The 25681-nt window shown below is 41.9% G+C and overlaps 1 protein-coding gene across 1 annotated transcript in view, besides 2 other annotated features; it reads left to right on the forward strand.

The window, feature by feature from the left end:
• Window positions 1–3189: 3189 nt before the first annotated feature.
• FNDC7 (fibronectin type III domain containing 7) overlaps window positions 3190–25681 on the forward strand; it is a 29842-nt gene continuing 7350 nt past the window's right edge. The window contains exons 1-10 of the mRNA NM_001144937.3: window positions 3190–3278; window positions 3793–3811; window positions 8059–8313; window positions 9071–9331; window positions 12617–12874; window positions 16032–16286; window positions 18090–18347; window positions 18914–19168; window positions 20956–21210; window positions 23554–23814. Of these exons, the coding sequence (NP_001138409.1) occupies window positions 3216–3278; window positions 3793–3811; window positions 8059–8313; window positions 9071–9331; window positions 12617–12874; window positions 16032–16286; window positions 18090–18347; window positions 18914–19168; window positions 20956–21210; window positions 23554–23814 (2140 nt within the window). The 5' untranslated portion in view covers window positions 3190–3215. The remainder of the gene's footprint in view (window positions 3279–3792; window positions 3812–8058; window positions 8314–9070; window positions 9332–12616; window positions 12875–16031; window positions 16287–18089; window positions 18348–18913; window positions 19169–20955; window positions 21211–23553; window positions 23815–25681) is intronic.
• Window positions 12675–12784: an enhancer, noted in NCBI's record as "active region_1428". NCBI's record gives its function as "activates an Ori minimal core promoter by ATAC-STARR-seq in GM12878 lymphoblastoid cells {active_cell/tissue: GM12878}" and the evidence as "EXISTENCE:reporter gene assay evidence [ECO:0000049][PMID:35858748]".
• Window positions 12805–12864: an enhancer, noted in NCBI's record as "active region_1429". NCBI's record gives its function as "activates an Ori minimal core promoter by ATAC-STARR-seq in GM12878 lymphoblastoid cells {active_cell/tissue: GM12878}" and the evidence as "EXISTENCE:reporter gene assay evidence [ECO:0000049][PMID:35858748]".

Raw genomic sequence — 25681 nt, forward strand, 5'->3', positions numbered from 1 at the left:
ACATATTTTATTACTTTAGCTGCTTGGTTTGGCCTTCCTTTGCTAGAGTGCATGCTCCAAGAGGACAGGGTTCTGATTTGTTTGTATCTTCCATGTCCTGAATAGTTCCTGGTCTTCATTAGGTCCTCAATATGTCAACATATATTTGATGGGTGCACAAATTGAAACGCCTTAAATTCATAGTAGTCAGCTCATAAGGCAGAGTGGTTTAGTGGAAGGAGCTTAGGGTTTGGAGTTAGACTGATTTTTGAAAACACCTTTATTTAGGTATAAGTAGCATTTAATAAATTGCACATATTTAAGACATAAACTCAATACATTTTGACATATGTATACACTCATAAATTCACCACCACAGTTCACATAATGAACATGTTCTTCACCCCCAAGAGTTTCCTCTTGCACTTTTGTAATCCCTCCTTCCTGCCATTCTCCATCCCCAGGCAGCCACTGATTTGCTTTCTGTTTTTAAGAGTAGTTTGCATTTTCTAGAAATTTATATGATTAGTTCAAACCATCTGTATTCTTTTTTTAGGTCTGACTTTTTTTGAGATTCATCCATGTTTTTGTGTGTTCCTTTTTTTGCTGGGAAAAATTTCATTTGTTTATTACTTATTTTGGCTGACAGACATTTGGTTTGCTTATAGTTTGAGGATTGTTAAAAATAATGCTACTGTGAATATTCCTGTATGTTTTTGTATGGACATATGCTTTCATTTTTTTTGAGTCAATACCTAGGAGTGAAATGGTGAGGCATGTGTTTAACTTTTTAAGAAACAGCCAAATTATTTTCCAAAATGATCGTACCATTTTTCATTCTTACCAGGTATGAGATTTCTGATTGTTCCACATCCTTGCCAACACTTAGTTTACTCAGTCTTTCTAATTTTATTATTTATTTATTTATTTATTTATTATTTGAGACAGGGTCTCATTCTATTGCTCAGGCTGGAGTGCAGTGGTGCGATCATGGCTCACTGCAGGCTTGACCTCCTGAGTTCAAGTGATCCTCCCGCCTCAGCCTCCCAAGTAGCTGGCACTACAGGCGCATGTCACCACATCCAGCTAATTTTAAAAAATTTTTTGTACAGACAGGGTCCTACGATGTTGCCTAGGCTGTTCTCAAAACTCCTGACCCCAAGTGATCCTGTTGCTTTGGTCTCTCAAAGTGCTGGGATTACAGGCACAGCCACAATGACCAGCTTCTAATTTTAGACATCCAATAAGTATGTATCTCACTGTGGTTTTAATTTGCATTCTGTGGGCCCAGCGCAATGGCTCACGCTTATAATCCCAGCACTTTGGGAGGCCAAGGTGGGCAGATGGCTTGAGCCCAGGAGTTTGAGACCAGCCTGGGCAACATGGTGAAACCCCATCTCTACAAATAATACAAAAATTAGCCAGGTGTAGTGCTGCACACCTGTGGTCCCAGCTACTCAGGAGGCTGAAGTGGGAGGATCATTAGAGCCTGGGAGGTCAAGACTGCAGTGAGGTGTGATTGCGCCACTACATTCCAGGTTGGATGACAGAATGAGACCCCGTCTCCAAAAAAAAAAAAAAAAACCTTTTCTGCATTCTGCTAATGACTAGTGATGCTGAGGATTTTTTCCATGCCTTTATTTTCCACGAGTATGTCTTCTTTTGTAAAGTGTTTGTTCATATCTTTTGCCCATTTTGTATTGAGTTGTTTTCCTATTACTGGGTTTTGAGAATACACACACACAGAATACAAGTCCTTTATAAGATATATATTTTCCCGCAGTCTGTGGCTTATCTTTTCATTCCCTTAATAGTGCAGATATTCTTCATTTTAATGAAGTCAAATTTATCAAATTTTAAAAATGGATTATACTTTTAGTGTTGTATATAAGAAATCTTTGCCTAACCCAAAGTCACAAAGATATTCTCTTGTGTTTTTTTTTCTGGACATTTTATAGTTTCAGGTGCTACATTTAGATCTATGATCCATTTTGAGTTCATTTTTTAATGTGGTGTGAGGTATGAACCAAAGTTTATGTTTTCTGCATATGGTTATCCAGTTGTTCCAGCACCATCTGTTGAAAAGTCTATTCTTTCTCCTTTGGATTGCCTTGTATCTTTGTTGAAAATCAATTATCTATATATGCGTGGGTTTATTTTTGGACTCTCTGTCCCATTGATCTATTTATCTATCTTCATGCCAATACCACCCGGTCTCTATTTTATTTTAGCTTTATGGTAAATCTTAAAGTCAGGGACGGTAAATGCAGTTCTTTTCCCTTTTTTGTAATCCTATCTTGGTTGAAAGTAGAAATCAGACTGATGCGTTTTAACTCTAGTTTGATCATTTAATTCTTGTGTGATTTCAGATAAGCCAATTAATTATGTTTATTATTCATTTATGTATCTGTTCATTGTTAAAATTATACATTGTAATTCTTAAATTAAATGCTAATTATTATTAAGAGTGTGAACTAGGAAGACAGCTCCGGAAATAAAAGGAACTAGCCAGGCGCAGTGGTGCATGCCTGTAGTCTCAGCTACTCAGGAGGCAGAGGTGGGAGGATTGCTTGAGCCCAGGAGTTGGAGGCTGCTTGGCAAAATAGCAAGACCCTGTCTCTAAAAAAATGAAAAAAAAAAAAAGGTACTGGAACTGCAGGGTGGTACGGGGGATGGATAAATTTAATGTGCTCACCAGGGACCTCTCACTATCTTTCTCAGTACAGGGACATGCTCCTGCCCTTTCATATTCCATGTTGAAGTTTTGCAACAAATTCTTCCTGACAGTAGGACCAATCACTTACTTTGAACTAAAAGAACAACAACAAATAAAGGTGAAAAAGAAAAATAAAACTGGTCAGCATCCCCGAGTTCAAAATAATTATTCTACCACATCAACAACTTTCTGTGCAGCTTTCTAAAATTTTTATTTAGACAGAAATTGTTTTAAAAAGAAGGTTGCTTTGAAACCAAGGTTACAGTAGCTTTTTGGCCCGCTTGCCGTGGCTTTCTCCAACTCTCTTCTTCTTTTCAGTCTTTGCAATACCTGTCCCTGCCGGTCTCCAAGTGCCCCTGGTTACAGGTCAGCTCCACACTGAAGGGGAGGAGCTACTTCCTAGGGTCTCTTCCCAGCATCACAGCCCTACATCCCAGCGACCAACGGTGTTATACTCCTGGGGGCCAAAGAGGACCCGGATTGCTTTGTTTTGTGCCATGTGAGTACTATGTCCAACAGGATGGCTGGTGGACGAGAGACATGTTTGCCTTTGATTGGATTCATTCTTATCTGTCTTAAAATGGTGAGTTCATCATTCCAACTACCCACAACTATTTAGGGGAAAAAAGAAAGACACATTATTTTTCTCTCCTTTTTTTTTTGAGGAGTTGGGGAATAGGGAGATAGAAATCAGAATACTTTGGTTTGTACCGAGGTTGTATATGTTTGCGTGTTTGAAATTTAATGCCATATACTAGAGAAAGAAAACAAGATTATCATTATATTTTAAGAACAAAGATTTCTGAAAAATCTGTCAGCAGCTACTGACTTAGTTCAATAGGCAGATTCAAAGGGGAAAAAAATGAAATAGTAATGGGATCTGCCTCCAGCCTCTAAATTCTATTTAGAGTTGTTTTGTGGTAGATTTGGGTGCTGGGAAATGATTTGTGTGGAGAAATACTTGTATGGATTGAAAGACTGCTCACGTTAGATGTAAAAATGTTGTGATTAATTTATTACCGCTTTTATTCATGTTTTACGTTTGTTCAAGTTGTGTTTTTCTGTGTGGTTCTAATTTTCCAAACTTTCCTTTTCAGGTTGCTTCAGCAAAATCAGGTACAATTTTCTGACCTGCAAGTTTTTCCTTCTCGTATTTGATTTTAATTTCCATTGTTAATTCACGGGCTACCCTGAAATCTAAAGGCTATATGAGAAAAAAAAATTCAATATTTTCTGAGCACTCACACTGGGTGCTAAGCACTCTATTGGGTCCTGGGGAGACAATAACTGGTAAGACAAATAAATGGATTGAACTCGAAAGACAAATCTTCATAAAGTGTTCTTGCTGAGGACTATAATGTACAGAGCCATGTAGGCATGCATTTTCTCATATACGGTTAGCCATGTGTGAAATATTACAATGATCATCATTCCAGTTAAGATATTGTACAGAGTCTAATTTATACAAATGTTCTTGTTTATCTTCCGGGGAATTAGAGGGAAAATGAGAAATGTTATATTTGATTAAATTGTCAATATTCCCTACTTTAAAAAGAACTTTATACTTCTAATATTGCATATTTGAAATATAGACAATAGTCACTCAGGGCTGAAAGGGGACCCTCTTTTAAAAATAGTTGATCTCCATCTTTCTTGAGTAGATAACCGAAGGCAAAAATAATTTATCTAGAGGCCCCTCCTAGCTCATTTGTGCTAGAAATCTAAGTACCTGGAATGGAAATTTATTTTTAGGAGGGTTAACTTATCTGTAGGAACCACATAATATCAACCATATCACCGATAAATTCTCATAGTGATTCAACATAAATTAGAAAAATTTTTATTTATTATTTTGTCTACACCACAGAAAAGGAAGTGAAATTAAGACAGTTAAAAAATTTGATACAGATACATGTCTGAGCCATGAAATTTCATAAAATTCATGCATATACAGTAAGTTTTTAAAAATTTCTATTTCCTGGCCAGGTACCAAGGCTCACGCCTATAATCTCAGCACTTTGGGAAGCCAAGATGGGAGGATTGCTTGAGCCCAGGATTTCAAGACCAGCCTGGGCAACATAGCAACACCCCACCTCTTGCTTTATTCTTATTTACTTGTCTTATTCTTGAGAGATCTTTAGGATTAGCCAGGAAACTATAGGAGGGTCTGCTTGGCCATATACAAAGTGGCATTTTTTTTTTTTTTTTTTTTTGAGACAGAGTCTCTGTCGCCCAGGCTGGAGTGCAGTGGTGCAATCTCGGTTCACTGCAAGCTCTGCCTCCCAGGTTCAGGCCATTCTCCTGCCTCAGCCTCTCCGAGCAGCTGGGACTACAGGCACCCGCCACTACCCCCGGCTAATTTTTTGTATTTTTAGTAGAGACAGGGTTTCACCGTGGTCTCGATCACCTGACCTCATGATCCGCCCGCCTCGGCCTCCCAAAGTGCTGGGATTACAAGCGTGAGCCACCGCGCCCGGCCGGCTTCTTAAATAAGTCGACTTTGGGTGGACAGAATCTAACTCTGCCGTCTCTTACAAGGTCCTAGCACACCCAGGACAGACCAAGCCCTCAGAACAGGCCCCTTTTTGGTGTTTATAGCATCTGCACTAATCTAGAGAAATGGTGGGTCAGGCTAAGCTACTGATGCTGCTGCTAATTGACTCAATTGCTAATTGAGTCCCGGCTTTTCAACAGATAGAATGTGTTTTAGCTACACTGTATAGAAGGTTTCATTTTGGTTGTGTGTGTTTTGATTCTCTTTGGGCTCTGGTATTGCTGTGTATCTGTGTCTGGTCACTGGGGCCTCGTGGGCTAATTTAGATCTCTTTGAGCTGGTGGAATGCACAGATGCTGAGAATCAAAGGGTTCATTTTTGACTGACCAGAGTGGTTGGTTGCACATCTAGGGAATAAAGTTTTCTCTTTCATCAGTCCAGTCAGTGGGCTAAACATAGAAGTAAGAAAGAGTAAGGAACTGCTGCTATTTTATGGACTTTACACTCCAGCTTCTCATCTACTAAAGGGCAACATACTACATAGGTGTTGATCTCATTTCATTGTTGATGCTGGTCACAGCCTGCCCTAAAACCAGGTGTAAAACAGACAATCTCTCTCTCCAGCCTGTGTTTGCCGCATACTCCTCAGAATCCCACTTTCACAGGACCCCTCCATGGCAGCGCCATATGGTCTGGCTTTTCCGAACCCATCAAAATTTACTTGTCTTGGCTCATACACAAACATGCGCGTGCGTGCGCGCGCGCACACACACACACACACACACTTTCCAAGTGCCCTAACATACATTATTTCACTTATTCTTTACAACAATCCTAAAATGCAGGTATTTTAAATTTCAAAGTAAATCCTAATATGTAGGTATTAATAATCCGTATTTGTCAAGGAAGGTAACAAGTCTAGAAGAGGTAAAATGACTTGCATGCCTTCACACACAAAAGTAAATAGCAGGGCCAGGGCTCAAACCCAGAGCTCCTGAATCCAAACCCTTTGCTATTTTCCCACCACACAACCCCGAGTTTCATTCTGTGATACTGGCTTCCTGCATTATGACTTCCAAGCAAATGTGCCTCTCCTAGATCAATTCCATGAGGCCAGTTTTGTGGAGCCCGCGGGCCCCATGACAGGCCTGTGGGGAGAGGGTCTGTGTCATGCTAGCCTTTTAGATGCCTTTCAAACTGCTCCGTGAATGCATGATCCGGCCTCCTGTGTCTGTGGCCAGTTTGGCTGTCATTTTCCCAGGAAGTTAGTTCATTCCAATGAACAGAACTGGTAACATAGGAGATAAGATTAACTCTGGGGACAGAGGAAACAGAAGGAGTTGAGAGACACCAGAAAATTAGAGGAAAGAAGGCATATAGCACAGGATCATTAGCTTGGGGAGCAGAAGAGAGGTGTGTGTGTGTGTGTGTGTGTGTGTGTGTGTGTGTGTGTGTGTGTGTGTGTGTGTTGGAAGAGGGAGCCCCTGCTGGGGCTTTCTATTCTGTAGGGGAGAGAGGGAGCGAAGCCCTTTCCTATAGAATTGGCTTCCACTGGCAAGTGGCTATGATGAGCAGGCCTGAGATTTTCCTCCAGCATATATAAGTGTCATAATTTTCTTTCAATGGCAAAAGAGACTATCCTGGGTGATGTTCAAGGAATGTCTGGCCAGGGCACAGAGGAGACTTTGTTCATTTTTGCAGCATGGTTATTTCTGAGATGCTGCCAAAGCTAACTCTCTGGGCTATTGGTACAGAAAGAGAAAGTTGTCTGTATCGTGCACATAGGGACTTGGCTCTGGGAGAAGGGGAGCTGATGCTGGAGAATCACCTGTCTGTCTTTACTCCTTCTCCCTCTTTGCCCTATAGTTCTGCTTGTTTGTCTTCCCTTTAGTTTTGAATTTGACATATAGTGATTTTACCCAGCAAGTGGAGTACATTAAACCTGAAAGTCCAAGTGCCAGTTTCAAATAAAACTCAGCTATTTTTGTTTGACCTTTTCTTCCACTTAGATCTCCTATATCCAAGACATTTTTGCATCTATGGAATTTTGTAAAGTAGTCAATCTGATTACTGTGCTGTATCTCCTACTCCATACTCCTGAGTGTAGGAATGCTTTGTGTAAGCCCATGACATAAGCATTCATATCTCCTGGCAAACCATAGCCCGGCCCATCACATTCTTATGCTGAGGCAGATATTGTGATAGAGAAAGGGAGAATAAAGTTTACTTTTATTTTGTATGGAAGAATCTGAGAATTATTCCACTCTGATAATATGAAAGAAAGTGCTATGGAGTAATTATAACAAAGAACTCAATCCTCCCTCCTTGCTCCATTGGATTAAAGGTTATCTGGAAAACGTGCAAAGTGCATGAGAGAGTGACCGCAGCCACTGAGCGGAGGCAGGAGGAATGGAGATGGGTCCAGCTGGAGGCAGTGGGATGGCTGTGGGACCAGGAGGGGAGATCAATGGCAAAGCAGCCTGCAAAAGTCACAGAATGCCCAATTGGAGTAGAATACTCTGGAAGAAAGCCTCTCAATTATTCTCTCTCTCTTCCCAGAGTTCTTTCCCGTAATTACTTCTCATTCTTATTTAGCTCTTTTAAAAGTACAAAAAGTGCAAATTACCCCACAGGCAATTGGGGAAAACTTTAAAATCCCATCCCTGAATGAGAGGTTTGAGCTTTCTGGATCTCTTCTGGAGAGTAGCTTTGTCTTTCTTTTTCTCTGTTTTTCCTTGATCTGAATAATAAGGGCAAAACTTCTGTCTGAAGGAAGGCATGAGAATGATTTAGCTTGAAGAGTAAAATGATGAAAGAAGTCATCCTCGTAGGTATCTTGGCTAATGTACAACTCTAAAACCTCTTTCAGCTCCTGAAATACCCACTATTGATCAGGCATATTCAAAACTCAGCAACAGTATCACTGTAGAATGGGCTACAGTGCCGGGTGCCACCAGTTACCTCCTCACGGCTGAAGACGGGGACACAGTCATTGAAACCACGGTGGCCAATTCCCCAGGCACTGTGACGGGACTAAAGGCTGCAACCTGGTATGAAATCACCATCAGATCCATCAGCGCTGCTGGGAGAAGCCAGGCGTCACCTCCAAAGCAGGCAAAGACAGGTGGCTGGATGGATGCTCATCCTCCGTTGAGTGTTTGCTTGTGACTTGGATCAGTTATCCTGGTGCTGCAAATGCAGAATGTGATTTGGTGTCACATGAGTGCCTACAATTCAAGGCCCAGAAGTGAAAGCTACCAAATGATGCTGTTTGAGAATTCAGCTATCTGCGGAGGAGGTGGCATTTAAATGCCAGCTGCTTTGCTTTGGAAAATAAAGCCCATTTCTGGGCATCTTTAAAAGCATCCCAGCTTTTAAATCTCTGAAATAGGGATTTCTGGTTTTAACACGCCAAATGAAGAACACAGAGAAGGGATTTTGCTGCACTCTGACCGTATGGCATATATGTTAACAAAACAAATAAAAGCATTTGGAGTTTGTCATCAGCATTACTGAAATTGATTTGATAAAGTTGTACCTAGGCATATTTCTGAAAAGTTATGTGCACATTAAAATGGTGTAACCCCTAATTTTCCCATTGATTTATATTATGATTATAGGAATGTTTTATCTAATTTCTGACTAACTTCAGTTAAAAGTAGTGCCTGATATTTAGCGTTTCTCTGTTTCCCATTCCTCTGCCAAGTCATTTATGATTAGTATACACTTAAATAGCAATTATTTAATGAAACTTTGTTGTGAATGCTCTTCTAAAGCAAATAATTATTGTATATTATGGATATCAATTTACTTGCTTCTAAATTTGAATTATCCTCTATTGGACTTTGGTAACACAAATGCATGTGTTTTTATTTTTTTAGTGTTGGCTGCACCAATTCTAGAAGTAAGCTCTCCAAGTTCAGACTCCATTCTTGTGCAGTGGGAAGCTGTATATATGGCAATTGCATTCTCCGTGTCCATTATGCGAGCCAATGGCTTGGGGAGTATATGGAAAGAGAATACTACAAACACCTCCTTGACATTCACCAGTTTAGAAGCCGGAACTCTCTACACCATAAAGGCCTATGCATGGAATGCCAACAGAATCCCTGGGGATGACTCCACCTGCAATCAGAGAACAAGTAAGAACTTCTCAGCTCAGCCTCGAACAATTCTACTTTTGATTAATGAGGGGGGCTGTGTGTTGCAGCCATCAAGGGCAGTGTTACATGACAAGTACAGAGCAGCTGGCAACAGCTATTTAAATTTATTATAAAGTTATTTATAGTGCCTTGTCTATTCCTCCTCGGTAGTTTAAACGCTTCCTGCATGGATAAAGAAATGCTACTCAGAATGCACACAGCATGGCTCCGCCCTCTAATATCCAACTCAATTTCAGCATTCACATTCGACCTCACACAAAAGAAGATGATTCTTGTTAAGTTTACCCATCACCCCTTGTCCCTTTCTGGGTTCAGGCCAATTAGTATAAGAATTGGGCCAAATAGGAATTCATTTGTTCAGCAGATACTGAGTGAGTGTGTGCCAACTTTGAGCTGGCATTGTTCTAGAGATACAGCAGCAAGCAAAGCAAGGTTTCTGCAGGCACAGTGCTTGATGCTGCAGTGGAATTCATGTTTCAGATCTGTTTCCCAAAGGCCTCAGCTTGGGTCTGAAGTCAGCATGGGGCTTCCCACTATTGCTCCTCCAGCTGTGGGGAGAAGCTGAAGCTTGGTGTGCATTTTCTCACCGTCCCACCTAGAGGTCCCCCGAGCAAAGGACTCTGCAGCATTACAACTGGAGGTCCAAATTGAGCTGCTGGAGTGAGCCAAGCGAATGAGAGAGAGAGAGAGAGAGAGAGAGAGAGAGAACGAGAGGGGGTGTTTTTTCTTTCCTTGAGGCAGAGTAAGCCATCCACTGGCAATGTAACCTACATAGATAGGAGACTCTCACCAACCAGATTAGCTGTTTCTCCACTTGGGGAGGACACAGGAAAGGATGGAAAGAAACCAGAAATGTTCTCTCCAACTTTCCCTAAGTTTGGAGGGGAATGGAAGCCCCATAGTGTATGGGCCAAGGCAGAATGTAGGGAGAAGAGAGGGGTTTGCCTTTTATACTATTTCCCTAGGGAGGTAGTATAATCATAGCCCTGCGGTGATTCATGACAGTCTTGGTGAGTCAGGATGTCTGTGACAAGTCAGTCTCCCTGGGCCTTTTCCTAGGCTGGCTGGCTTGCTTTCTTCCCTCCTTCCCTTATCTTCCCCTCCTGTCCTTCCCTTTCCTTTCCCTTTCACACTGCTTTTTTCTTTCCACATTTGTTGAGGGCCCACTGTGTGCTGGGCATAAGTTAGCTGATGGAAATACAAAAGCAAATAAAGCATGATCCCTCCATTCAAAGAATGGACTATGTCAAAGGAGAGACCAATGGTGAGTCAGCGTTTCCAGTTTCACCTGACCAGTGCTTTGGCAGAAGGCTGCCGACACAGCGAGGCACAGGAGGCAGCATCTTCATCAGGCTGGGGCACTGAGACAGCATCCCCTAGAATAACTTGTTTCTTAAAGACTTCCCCTACATAGGTTTCCCCATGTTTTACAAAGCTTTACAGAGTTTAGATTTCACCTCTGGATTAGTTTCCTAGGGCTGCTGGAACCACAAACTGGGTGACTTGAACAATAGAAATGTTTGGTTTCATGGTTCTGGAGGCTACGAAGTCTGAAATCAAGGTGTTGGCTAGGTTGGTTCCTTCTGAGGGATGTGAGGAAGAATCTGTTCCAGGCCTCTCTCCTTGGCTTGTAGATGGTTATCTTCACATTCACATGGAATTTTCCCTATATATGTGTATCTGTGTCCAAATTTATTCTTTTAATAAGGAAATCAGCCATATTGGATGAGGGCCCACCCTAATGATCTCATCTTACCTGATTACATCTGCTATGACCCTATTTCCAAATAAGGCTACATTCTGAGAGTACTAGGGGCAAGAACTTCAACATATGAACTTGGAGGGAACTCAAGTCAACTCATAACAGGCTCTCACTACTCTACCTATTTTTCCTAGTTCTCCCATGCTTCCTGTGGGAAAAGCAAGTTGCCCTAAAACACTGCAGGCTACCCCTACCAGCCCTGGGCCCAGCACTTCCCTAAAGCAGAACTGCCTCTGCAGACTAGCTGACCATGCAGTGGGAAGGGGCCTGTCAAGATGGCCCACGGGAAAATCATGGCAGATGCCTGCCTTACAGAGAATGAGTTAGGTCCTCATGTCCTCAAAGAGGCCTTCCCGGCCGGGCACGGTAGCTCACGCCTGTAATCCCAGCACTTTGGGAGGCTGAGGCGGGTGGATCACGAGGTCAGGAGATCAAGAACATCCTGGCTAACATGGTGAAACCCCGTCTCTACTAAAAATACAAAAAATTAGCAGAGCATGGTGCCGGGCGCCTGTAGTCCCAGCTACTCAGGAGGCTGAGGCAGGAGAATGGCATGAACCCCGGAGGCGGAGTTTGCAGTAAGCCAAGATTGCGACACTGCACTCCAGCCTGGGCGACAGAGCGAGGCTCCGTCTCAAAAAAAAGAAAAAAAAGAGGCCTTCCCTGTTTGTCCCAGACATGTCCAGAGGATGCTGGTCTCTGCTCACAGACTGTTTAAGCAGTTTCCTAAGGCCTGCTGCGTGGGCGTTATTACAGTACAGATTCCAAAGAACGGAGGCCAATTTCTCCCCTCCCCAGGCCAGGACACCTTCTTACGCTTTTTTAATGCGGTAACTCTTAAGAAAGGAAGGTATATTTACAAGAATGTAGGGTTAAGTGTTTTGGAGACACTAAAAGACTGCCTTAATATGTATGCATCACACTTGACACCTTCCTTCCTTCCTTTTGATAATGAATGGAAAGAAAATCTGCTCCTCTAGAAACAATTATGACCGAAAAGCTATTACAGTAAAAGTTGTAGCAGATGTCAAAAGTAACGAAGGGATATGTTTAGTTTCATTGATCAATAACAGAAAATATTTGACCTATCACTTAATAATAACGTACCCACGTGGCCCTTTTAGTTCTCCCCATTTATAATTTCATTTAACTATTTTAACTACTTATTAAATAATGCATTAATTCATTCAAAATATGTCTTTTGGCACCTATAGGTGTTAGGCATGGATCTTATTAGATCTATTTAGATATAAGAAAAAAATAAATAACAAAAAGGGTAAATAATATGGGGTCAAGGTCACACAGTATATTATGAGTTTGCATAGTAGCAGATGAATTACCAGTTCCCAGGCATCATCCTAAATCCCAATTTTATGCTTTGAACACTTGTAATTATCCAACTATTGGGTACCTTATCCTCCAGGCTCTGCAACATTGTTATGCCAACTCTTACGTAGTTTGTAAGGCTACTACAAAATCTTAATTGTTTCTCTAAAATGTAGGTCCTCGGGCCCCTGCCAACATTCAAGTCTCTTTCGATAGTGGAGCTCTGAAGGCATCTTTTTCCTGGGCACGGGCAGAAGGAGCTTTCAATTATACTGTGATGGCTTTGAGCGACTCTTCAGAGCTGACCTGCAGTACAACTTTCAGTTCCTGCACCATCTCTTCCCTCCAGTGTGGAACTGAATACTTGATTTCAGTTTTAGCAAGTAATGATGCTGGATCTAGCAAATCATCTTCAGCAATGACCCTGAAAACTGGTATGTAAACAAGAGTGAGACTGCTGTCGGGCTTGCAGCCCTGACTGCTGTAAGGGAGACGTTCACTGACAATGTTTCTGAATACTCTGGAAAAAATGAAAATGAAAGCCTGGTCTAAATGAAAGCATAGAGTTGGACATTCTCATGAGTTTGAATAATATTGATAGTGAAGCGAGATATTGTGTATTGCAAAAAGCACTTTTTGGAAAATTAGGAGGCCTGGTTTCTATTCCAGATCTTTCATTAATTAGTTTTTTCTTTTTCCTTTGTAAAGCTGTGAAAATTCTAAGATGTGATTTGAGTTGTACACAGCTCTAACTGTGCATACAGATAACTGCGTCTTCTTTGCGTCATGTCTCATGTCCTAGGCTTGGTGGGAGCCGCCATTTTTTAAGAAAAAGATAGGATATTTCTAGTTCTGAACATGCGTTTAGATATTTTTCCATTTTCATTCTTATCAGAGAGATAACCACATACACATGTGGAAGTTGACTCCTCTATTTAGAAATATCTATGTGTCTTGGGGATGGAAACTAACACTTAATGAAACTAACACTTAATGAAGACCTACTATGTCTCTGGCACTATAAGTATGTTATTTCATTTAAATCTCATGACAACTCAGTGAGGTGGGTTCTATTTTCTCTTTTTTTACATAAGAAAATTGAAGCTCAGAGAAGTTAAATAATTTTCCTAAGGGCACACCGATAATAAGTGGTAGAGCTGAGATTCAAGCTGCTCAAGTTTGCCTAATTCCAATGCTTAAAGCCAAAGAAAATGTTGACAATTACAATAATATCTACTTTATCTAACAGTCAGTTATGTCATTCTAAGTTTAAAAAGCTTCTGAACAGAAAGAAAAGGAGCTGTCATCAAGTTGATGCACTCCATTCCACAGGAAAAAAAAAATAAAGCTATTCTTTCAGGCCCGCACTCTCTTATAGTTATGTTAAATTAAGGTCAATGATAACAAACTTGATGATTTGGCTTCTCTTTTGACAACTGTGATTTAATGTGAATGGTACATTAGAAGCGATTATGAGGACAAGATAGCTAAGAGTGGGAGAAGAGAGAAAAAATACTTTCAAAAGCATAGCAGTTCTGAGTTACGCAGTTAGGCATTTAATGCAGGGGAGAACCATGCAGAGTTTTTAAATCTTGGACACACATTAAGAGCATCTGGGGAACTTTTACAAAATCCCAATACCCAGGTCCCACTTAAGACCAACTGGAGTTGCTGGGAATAGAATTTGGATATGAATAGTTTGTAAAAGCTCCCCAGTTGATTCTACTATGCAGTCAGGGTTAAGTGCCATTGAAATAATCCTTCACACTTAACAGGTCCAGGATGTTCTAAGGCAGTTTGTGTATAACACAGTCATGATCATAGGGATGACCTTGACTTATTAATAAAAGAACTATGTTTACAAACTACGGTGTGTCTCCTGGGGCCCAGAAGTGTGTAATATATTTCGGGAAGATTTCCACTAGAGAAAACTAAAATTTTTAAAGCTTAGCACTTGAATGAACAAACTTTACTTGAATTCATTCTTTCAGAAGATTTTGTTCCATCAATAAATGAGGCATTATGTGGATAAATGAGGTATTGCCTTAACACAGAGAAACAGTCAATATTAATCAAATCAATACATGCCTGCTTTTGACATAGTCTAGCACTTATTGTGTGAGATAAATTTTAGGACATCTGAGAATGTCTCCTGGGTTTGTACTGAGTTGTACATACTATTTGATTTGTTCCTTATTCGTAGCATCTAGTATCTTAACTCTATGCTTAAGATGCTCCCTGGAGGATGTAATGGGCATAAGAATGTATTCTGTCATTCAGTGCATGAGAGGCTGCAGTTAGAAAAACTTTCCAGGTTGCACACGGGGGCTCATGCCTGTAATCTCAACACTTCAGGAGGCCGAGATGGGTGGATTGCTTGAGTCCAGGAGTTCAAGACTAGCCTGGGCAACATGGCTAGACCCCGTCTCTACAAAAAATACAAAAATTAGCTGCTCATGGTGGCATGCACCTGTAGTTCCAGCTACTCACGAGGCTGAGGTGGGAGGATCACCTTAGCCTGGGAGGCAGAGGTTGCAGTGAGCTGAGATCGCACCACTGCACTCCAGCCTGGGTGACAGAGCGAGACCTTGTCTCCAAAAAAAAAAAATTAATTAATTAATTAATTAAAAAATAAATTTAGGCTGGGCGCATTGGCTCCTGCCTGTAATCCCAGCACTTTGGGAGGCTGAGAGGGGAGGATCACTTGAAGTCAGGAGTTCAAGACCAGCCTGGCCAACATGGTGAAACTTTGTCTCTACTAAAAGTACAAAAATTAGTTGGGCATGGTGGTGCACACCTGTAGTCCCAGATGCTTGGGAGGTTGAGGCAAGGGAATCACTTCAGCCCAGGAGGTGGAGGTTGCAGTGAGCCGAGATCACATCACTGTGCTCCAGCCTGGGCAACCGAGTGAGACTCTGTCTCAAAAAAAATAATAAATAAAATAAAAAATAAATTTAAAAAAATAGTTTTTTTAATAAAAGAATTTTCCATGCTATGGAGGCTTTACAGATAAACCCCCAGAAAGACCCAGCTCCATTCCTTCCTACTTATGTGATCTTAGACAACTTACCAACCTCTATAAGCCTCAGTTTCCTCAATTGTAAAATGATGATAGTTGCTGGAAGAATTAGAGAATATATTAATATAAAACACAATGAATGATGTCTGTATTTTAATCTCTAAAACAGGTAACTTCTGGGATATTCATTATTCCACTCAAGCCAGACTAGCTTCATCTCTGGATGAAGTCAAATATTTCAACAAATAATCTAACGATGAAAATTTGTATGTCTTAAGATGACTATGAATCTCTGATGGCTCATTATTTCAAACAATATTTCATATAACAAGAGAATGTGAGAGGTCATTAAAATTTGTTGTAGTGGTTTGGGGCCTGTAACATAGCCTTTGGTCCTATAAAGAAAATCTTCTAATGCTTCCAGTGCACAGTTTTGCATTTTGTGCACCAAATTCAATCTGTCACAAAGCTCAGAGTTGCTAATTTGGGTTGTATTGAAATCTTGGATAATTGCAAAGATGCGAAGAAAATCTCCTGCAGTAGTCTCATGTTTATTATTGATCATTTCCTAGTTGCTTGTGCACCCGGAAGAGTGACGATCCAAGAAGATCCCCCTGGCCACCTGTCTGTGGCTTGGTCCAGTGTAGATCTGGGTGACTACTATGTGGTCTTTGTGAAGAGTGATGATGGCTTGGAAGTACACTGCAACACATCTCTCACTCAGTGCAACTTCTTATCTGAGTGTGGCTTCACTTATTTTATTAGTGTTTTTGTCTATAACAAGGCAGGGCAAAGTCCTTTGGGTGACATATTCAATTATACCACAGGTAAGTCCCATTTGATGTTTGTTAAGGGAGTTCTGAGATCTCTAACCTCAGCAGCAGAATGGATCACCTATTCCACTTATTGACTTACCACCTGGGAGTCATTCTAGAGCCAAGAACAGAAAGTAATCTCTTATCTCACATTCTTTCCAGACTAGGGAATTTTGGCTTTGTGGACCTAAGCATAACTAGACTGCAAGGTTTGGGAGTGAAAAGAGGAGAAAGAATGTAGTTGTTCAACCTTGCTCTGAAAGATTGAACTCGCCACAAAGATGTACTCAGTGAGTGTTCTAGCATGTGCTGCTGCCAGAGAGAAGGCAGTGCCTCCGTTTCAGGAGGTCACTCTTTCCCTGAGACCAAGACAGACATACAATGGCCAAGACGCTACATGGTGTGGAGGGCTTTGGAGTAGGACACCTGGGTTTACACCCTAACTTGACCACTAATTCATTCCTTCAGTGAGGATAATGATGCCCACCTTGCTAGTTCCTTAGTATCCTCCACTGCAAAATGGGACAAATCATGAAAACATGAATGTAAAAAGGTCTTGTGTGTGACAAAGCATGATGCACATATTTTTATTATTAGCATCACCGTTGCTGTTGCTATTATTCTCCTCTACTAGGCTTGCATCTTGTACAAGGCAGGAATTATGTCTTATTTATCTCTTCATCCTCAGTGCTTATAATAGTGTGATCAGCATATGGGAGATGCTCAAGTTTTGAAGAATGAGTGGAGTGATTTGAAATTAAATAACTACATTACAAATAAGAATACTCAAACATAATTATGTAAAAGTCTAGCTGAATTACAGTAAATTTTGACAGGATGAGGGATCTAAATCATTGGTGCCTTTGGAATGTGGAAAAAGAGGCTATCGATAAGGTCCCGACACGAGAGGGCCCTCCAGAGTGGCCTTGAACTGGATCTTGAAGGATGAATGGGAATGTAGGTGGGGCAAGAGCATCCCAGGGAAACTCCAAGCTGAGTCAGACATTTGCCAGTGGGGTTCTTTAGGGTCTCTTAAGACCTACCTATATACGGCCGGGCACAGTGGTTCACGCCTGTAATCCCAACACTTTGGGAAGCCGAGGCAGGCAGATCACTTGAGGTCAGGAGTTGAGACCAGCCTGGGCAACATGGAGAAACTCTGTCTCTGCTAAAAATGCAAAAATTAGCTGGACGTGGTGGCATGTGCCTGTAATTCCAGCTACTCCAGAGGCTAAGACCTGAAAATCACTTGAACCCAGGAAGCAGAGGTTGCTGTGAGCTGAGATCACACCACTGCACTCCAGCCTGGGTGGCAGAGCAAGACCCTGTCTCTTTGAAAAAACAAAACAACAACAACAACAAAAAAACTACTTATATAACTGTGAGCCCTACCCCCCAGTTTTATTTGGTTTACTGTCTGGAAAGGCTGACAGGATCTGAGAAGTTAGACTGCATATGATTTTACCAGGCAGAAGAGGGGAATGGCTTTCCAGTGGAGGGGTCAGCAATCTTCTCTGCATAGAGAACAAGGGCGCACGTGGCGTGGGGGAATTGAGGAGTCTGGTGTGGCAGGGAGTGGGGGGAGTACAGCAGAACCTTATAGCTTGCAATGACCTTCAATGTCATGCTGAGGATTTACCCTCTATGCAGTGGCAATTAGGCCAAGATTGGACCTTGACAGACCCATAGGGAGTCACTGTAGTCATCAGGGAGGGCAGTGGCAGAGGCTCTGGGCATGGGAGGTCAGGACACAGTGTACCCCCAGCTGCATTGCTCTTGATGGGACCGCCATTTTCCCTCTGCTCCTGCTTTCAGCTCCCTGTTGTCCTAGTGACATTAACCCCGTGTTGGTGTCCAGTGACAGAGTTGAGATTGTCTGGTCTCCTGTCCGTGGTGCCGAACTGTATGAAACCAAGGCTGTAGATGGGTACAACATGGTTGAGTGCAATGACACTACTCCTGCGTGCACCCTTTCGGCTCTAGAGTGTGACACCAAGTACAACATCACAGTGTATTCATTCAATGAAGTCCGAGGCAGCAATATGTCATGTACTCCCCAGTTCATAACCACAGGTAAGGCACAGCTATCATTCCACTCACTGGTGTCTGAATGATTCACCCCAGCTCTGAGCCTCAGGATGGGCATTCAGTGAGACCAATAAAAAGGTTAAATCCCATTAATCAATCTTTGTGGAGACCAAGAGAGCCCCCGTTGTACGAAGGAGAGGCAGAGGAGAAGGCAGAAGAGGAAAGTGGAAAAAATGAAAACAAAAGGGGAGACCACGGGGAGAGTAGAAGGTTTTGCCCATGATGACTTCAGCCATTCGGTTCCTCCTATCTTTGAGGGGCCTGCCTGTACTCACACCATGAAGGTGTATAAATATGTTTCTTACTTACTTTTGCTTTTGGAGTTCACAATGCTTTTAAACATTTTCCAGCTAGTCCAGTACTCTATGAACCCAATGCCCTGTGTTAATGTCAACAGTTCCCCACGCATAGGCACTATGAATTTGGCCCGCATGCATGACGTGGTTGAAAACTGTGATGATCTCACTGGGGGCAAAATCAGTTTTAGACCAAATGGCACATGTGATATTTTTGACTCATGCTGGTTCAATTAATACTCTAAAATGTCTTAGCTCCTTGCAGTCCTGAAATAAAAAATGTTTCAAGGGATGCATTCTCCATGATTAATGTGCACTGGCGATCCACTAATGATGATGCTACTTACACGGTGACTGCCCAAGGGGAGAAAGGACTGTATCAGTGCAGCAGCACAGGAGAGTCCTGCACCATGCGGGGCTTGCCCTGTGGCTCAGTGTTCTCTGTCACTGCTGTGGCCGAAACACAGGCAGGACGGAGCCTGCCCAGCTACAGTGTGCCCCTGGAAACAGGTATGTAGCAACCACCAGCCTGAATGTTGACTTCAGTGGGGTCCTTATGGAGTGTTTCAAGACATGAACTTCCTTATTTAATCTACCCTCAGTGCAACAGAAATACATTAAACTCAGAGACGTTTCAAAGAGTCCCGGTCATAGACAATAAAATTTTCAATATTTTACAAGTTCTGTAAAAATATCCTCAAGACTAGTATATCCATTCACTGGCATCAGAGAAGGAATACTTACTCATTCTGCAAAACATTTATTTGAATTCATATTCCCCTATGATATAATCTATCGAAACAGCTAACAAATGAGTAGCCAAATGAGCTGGGTTGTTACTTATTTCTTTGGCTCAGCCCTTTCAAATTTTTCTCTTTAAAAAATGCTTTCTGGCCAGCATGGTGGCTCACGCCTGTAATCCCAGCACTTTGGGAGGCCGAGGCGGGCAGATCACGAGGTCAGGAGGTCGAGACCATCCTGGCTAACACGGTGAAACCCTGTCTCTACTGAAAACACAAAAAATTAGCTAGGCGGGGTGGTGGGCACCTATAGTCCTGGCTACTCAGCAGGCTGAGGCAGGAGAATGGCGTGAACCCAGCAAGCGGAGCTTGCAGTGAGCAGAGATCATGCCACTGCACTTCAGCCTGGGCAATAGAGTGAGATTCCGTCACAAAAAAAAAAAAAAATGCTTTCTGACTTTCAATTTCCTGATAGGTAAAAGGGAGATAATGGCCTCATAGGGTGGCTATGAGTATTAAGTTGACTAATGCTGCAAAGCACTTAGCATAATGCCTGATGCACAGCAAGAGCTCCATAAAAGAAAACTATTATTACAGCGTAGCATTGTGTATGAATGAAACGTGGCAAATCACTTCAAGCCTGTGGACATTAGTTTTTCTTATATACAGTGATAGATGGCACTTTGGACTATAAAAGTTGAAATACCTAAAAAAAGAAGCCAGCAGTAAGATAGAGACCATACAAAATACTGCATACGTGAAGATGTTAGGTATCCTATATTCGGGTAATGGGTCCCTGAAAAGTCAAGATGGCTGTGGTATTTTAGACAGCTAAGAAATCAAGCTTTTATATCAGTGATGTACTATGAAATTTTCAAGAAAGGCAAATTATACTTAATTGCTAATGCTATGAAATGTTCTGTTGGGAGAAGTGAAAGCAACCGTTACTTTGAAATTTGCAGTTAGAATTGTTGAAGATGGGCCGGGCATGGTGGCTCATGCCTGTAATCCCAGCACTTTGGGAGGCTGAGGCAGGCAGATCATGAGGTCAAGAGATTGAGACCATCCTGGCCAACATGGTGAAACCCCATCTCTACTGAAAATACAAAAATTAGCTGGGCATGGTGGCACGCACCTGTAGTCCCAGCTACTCAGGAGGCTGAGGCAGAAGAATCGCTTGAACCTGGGAGGTGGAGGTTGACTGCACTCCAGCCTGGCAACAGAGCGAGACTCCATCTCCTTCTCAAAAAAAAAAAAAAAATGTTGAAGATGGGGGCAACAAAGGATGTCTTTCTTATTCTGAAAAAAAAAAATGGTGGAAACCTGCAACAGCCAGTTGGTGCAGTGCATTCTTGGGGAAAGTACCCACTATATACAGTGAATGTTACATGACGCATCAGAGGGAATGAACAAAAGGAAATTTTTTATTAACAATGGAAAGTTGGGGAATGTAGGATATTGAGTGAAACACAGGCAAAATACCATTCTTTATCATTTTTCACAAATAATCTTCAGTGGAAATAAATCTCCAATTCTTTTTCTTTTATCCCATTTAAGTGCCATGCTGTCCAACCGGTCTGACAGTAACTCAAATCACCCAGTCAGTAATCAACGTGAGCTGGACTATTGGGAGAGTGGCTCAAACCCATGTTGCAGTTCTGGAGTCACACACTGGACAGTCTAAGTGTCACACTCATCAAAACCACTGCCTCCTAGGATGCATCACATGTGGCATCAATTACACAGTGACATTAAAAGCAATTAGTGCCACCGGGTTGACTGCAGATTGCTCCTACCAAAGTTATTTCTCTGGTAAGTGAACTCTAGCTCTAGAGTAGCAGTAAGGACTTGACTATTATCAATCCAGGCATGAGCCTTTCCTCCTCATTTAAAAAGATGCTGCATCTCCACCTAGTTTGCATTATAAACTCAGATTACTTTCTAAAATGGTTATAGTTTCCCTTTGACTTAGAACCTCAAAGCTTCAGAGGCTTCTGTTGGTAGTTGGTGAATTAACTCCCCTAGTAACAATGTTCCTCTATGCTTTTTCTGAAGGGACCATGTATCTTTATATGACATAGCTACTTGCAACACAGAGTAACGTAGCCTGGCAGAGTTTTCTGAAAGCTAGATCACACATTCTGTTTGGTTTGCATTTTTTTCTTCTCATTATTATTGTGCTACTACCTCTCTTTTCTAAGCTTCTTCAGCTGCTTCAATGGTTTCTTATTTCAACAGGCTAAGAGAGCAAAGACATCTGTCTACTGACAGTATTGTACCTTGTTCTTCACAAAGACCAAACCATTAGGGAATAGCAGGGGAAAGTAAAAGCAGTGCAAGGTTACCAAATCTCTTGCATGATTCTAATTCACTGAAGTGGCTGCTTGTAACACGGTTTTGATAAAACTCTTGAGGATGCTTCCTAGGCTTAAGGAGAAAAAGTACAATGATAAGTTACCTCTGCCTGGGGCATGGGATGGAAGAGTTGGAATATAATTTTGGCATCCTAGAGGTAGTAGAAAGAGTCTTAACTGGGAGTCAAAATTAGACATGGATTCTAATAAGCTGTGTTGCCTAATCTTCCCTGATTCTGTCTCCTCATTGAAAAAGACAGGAATAGTAATATTTTCCTTCGAAGTTGTTTTGAGAATCAAAATAAATCATAATGTGAGAACATTCAGAACATGCTGCACGTATGTCAGCTGGTATGTACTTTCTTTTGACCCATTATCTTGTATTAGATTTACTGCTTAAGTTCTCACCTTGATATCCAGTTCTCAGAATATGACCCATTGCTTATTCTTTTAAGAATAAATCAAGTAAGCCTGATTATAATAACTTTTAAAAATTATACAGTAGGATCTTTAACTTAGTTACTAAGGAATCCATTTGATGCCCTTATTGGCACCTAATGTGTGGCTTGCTCAAGGTATTTAGAAAAGGAAAAAAATACTAATCAGTGGCCTGGCGCGGTGGCTCATGCCTGTAATCCCAGCACTTTGGGAGGCCGAGGCAGGCGGATCACGAGGTCAGGAGATCAAGACCATCCTGGATAACATGGTGAAACCCCGTCTCTACTAAAAATACAAAAAAATAGCCAGGCGTGGTGGCGGGCGCCTGTAGTCCCAGCTACTCGGGAGGCTGAGGCCGGAGAATGGCGTGAACCCGGGAGGCGGAGTTTGCAGTGAGCCGACCAGCCTGGGCAACAGAGCGAGACTCCGTCTCAAAAAAAAAAAAAAAAAAAATACTAATCAGCTACCATGGATGAAGCGTGGACCAGCAAACTTGGTCACTGGCATGTTGTATAAATGGCTGCACCTAAAGTGTCATACTACTCATCTCGGCAAAATTGGTTCTTCAATTAAGGCTGAATGCAGTTAATTATATTTAAGTTTAATGCCACCAAAATCAAATAAAACTAGGGCATTATGAGGGATCTTGACAAGGATTCTGTGCCTTTGACTCACAGTTTGAATCATGTACAATATGTATCTGCCAATTTTTGGACCTTTCTGACTCACCATTGTTCTGTATTAAAAATTCATACTGCACACCACCTTCACACATGGATTTCTCTCTCTCTCTCTTTCTTTCTTTCCCTCCCTCCCTCTCTTTTCTCTTTTTTCTTTCTTTCTTTCTGTCTGTCTTTCTTTCTTTTTCTTTCTTTTTTTTAGACAGGATCTCGCTCTGTCACCTAGGCTGGAGTGAGTGCTGTGGCACAATCATAGCTCACAGCAGCCTTGAACTCCTGGCCTTAAGCCATCCTCCTGCCTCATCCTCCCAAGGGGACCACAGGTGTGCACCACCACAACTGGCTAATTTTTTTTTTTTTTTTTTTGTAGAGTCAGGGTCTCCCTATGTTGCCTAGGCTGGTCTCAAACTCCTGGGCTTAAGCGATCCTCCTGCCTTGGCCTCCCAAAGTACTCAGATTATAGGCATAAGCCATCATGCCCAGCCACCCATGGATTTCTGATTATGTGGCCCACCATGGAAATAACTCGAGTACCCCTTCAAATCTTGCTCTGATCTAACCAGTAATTAATCCTGTTACTTAGACTAGTTTGCTTATATTTTTTCCCTGCAGTAATCAAGGCCATTTTTGGATGATGGTGGAATAAAACAAGTGATTTTGTGTTTGTTATTTTTATTGCCTAGGTGCCTGCTGCCCTTTGGGGGTGAAATTATATAGGCTGGGCCCTAATGGCATCCGGATCTACTGGCAAGCCTCCAGGGGCTCTGCCAATTACAGCACTGACCTCTATGGCTCCAAAGGCATTTTCACGTGCACCCCGAGTGCTGGCCTCAGTTTCTGTGATGTCACTGAGATACCCTGTGGGGATGTATACACTGTGATGGTCTCACCAGTTGCTAAAACAGGATTGAAGCTTACTTTCTGTCCAAAAAAAATATATTCAGGTAAAGCAAGTTATGACAGTTTATCTAAAACTAACCCTGAACTCATATCTGTGAATTAAGATGCAATCAAACTTATTTACTATGTATGAAGGGCACAGAGGGTATAAAATTTCTTTCTTTTTTTTTTTTTTTTTTTTTGAGACAGTCTCACTCTGTCGCCCAGGCTGGAGTGCAATGGCATGATCTTGGCTCACTGCAACCTCCACCTCCCAGGGTCAAGCAATTCTCCTGCCTCAGCCTCCCAAGTAGCTGCGATTACAGGCACCTGGCATCATACCTGAGTAATTTTTGTATTTTTGTAGAGACGGGGCTTCAGCATATTGGCCAGGCTGGTCATGAACTCCTGACCTCAGGTGATCCTCCTGCCTCAGCCTCCCAAAGTGCTGGGATTACAGGCATGAACCACTGCACCCAGTCAAGGGTATAAAATTTCTACACAGCACAGGCAGATTCTGGCTGTGGAAGACCCCAAGATTCTTTGGAATTGTGATGCTTTATTTAATTTAGAGATTATCTTCTCTGTCCCACTCTTCCCCTTCCTAAAAAGGACTAGATGCTTGCTGCTTAATTAGTAAAGCAAATTTAAGATAATTTTCTGCTTTGAGATTTAGGGATAGATTTTTTAACATAGTCTTGCTGATAATGATAGACATCCTGGGATGTTGGAAATTAGGAAACTTGAACTTTTATTTGCACAGACTGAGAATTATGACTGAGGAAAAGTTAGAGGATCAGAAAAAATAAATTTATAAATCACAAGCTAGGCTTGGCAATATGAGTGGGCAGACAATCTGTGATCACAAAGCATGGCTGTCAGCAACTACCATCTCACCAGAGCTGGCAGGAAAACATTAGCAATTCTCCGCTCTGTGTTCCAGCACCTTCTGCTACCTTGCCCAGGGCACAGTCATATATTTTTCATGTATTCCTAGAAGAAAAGAGATGATGAAGCCCTAGAATTTTGCAGGTGAACACAGAAAAAAAGAATAAATATTGGCTCACAAGCCCTTACTGATAGCCAGAATCTAAAATTTTGAATGATATGTAGGTGACAGGAGGTTCAGGATGGCCCTTGGTGATGGAAGGAGGACAGTTCCTCCCAAGGGGCTGTTCTCATTGTCCCTGGCTGTCATGCTCTGATTCCTTGTTTTTCCATTATTTGGTCCACAGGACAAGCTGGCCCAAAGCATAGCCCTATGGGAAGGGACAGGAATAGGTTCCTGGTGTCAGGATGAGCTCTTAGGAAGATGAGTCTACAGCTCAATAACAATACTGCATCATAACTGCATAATATTTTATAATTTATCCAGTGGTTTCATATCACAAATCTCATCAAATGCTCAAAATATGCTATGCTATAGGCTCAACATATTTCATTATCTCCACTTTGTAAATGAGAAAACTGAAGCTCAGAGGCTCCCAAATCTCTATCTACAACTCTTCTCTTCTCCTGACCCCTAAGTCCGTATTCAAATTTGATACCTCCACCTGGAGGTGCCCAGGCATTTCAAACCCCTCAGGGGCAAAAGGAACTCCTGATCCTCTGCTGTTTCTGATCTTCCTCCCATCGTCCTTGTTTCAGGTACATTAGCTAAAAACCCTGGAGTCAGCTTCTGTCTCCCTCACCCTCCATATCTAAGTAATCTCGAATTCTCGTCCTGGTCACCTTCATGATGGTTCCTAAATCCCGAGTCTTCTCTTCATTCCCACAGCTACTGCTATGCCTCAGGCCCTCACCACCTCTCCCCTAGACTACTGCACCAGTCCCATCTCCCTGTCCTCACTCCAGCCTCTGTAATGCTACCAGAGTTATCATTCCAGGACACTGGTCCAATTGTGTTACTTTTATGCTGCCACATCTTCAAAA

Source organism: Homo sapiens, chromosome 1 (genome assembly GCF_000001405.40).
Source record: "Homo sapiens chromosome 1, GRCh38.p14 Primary Assembly".
Taxonomy (NCBI): Eukaryota; Metazoa; Chordata; class Mammalia; order Primates; family Hominidae; genus Homo; species Homo sapiens.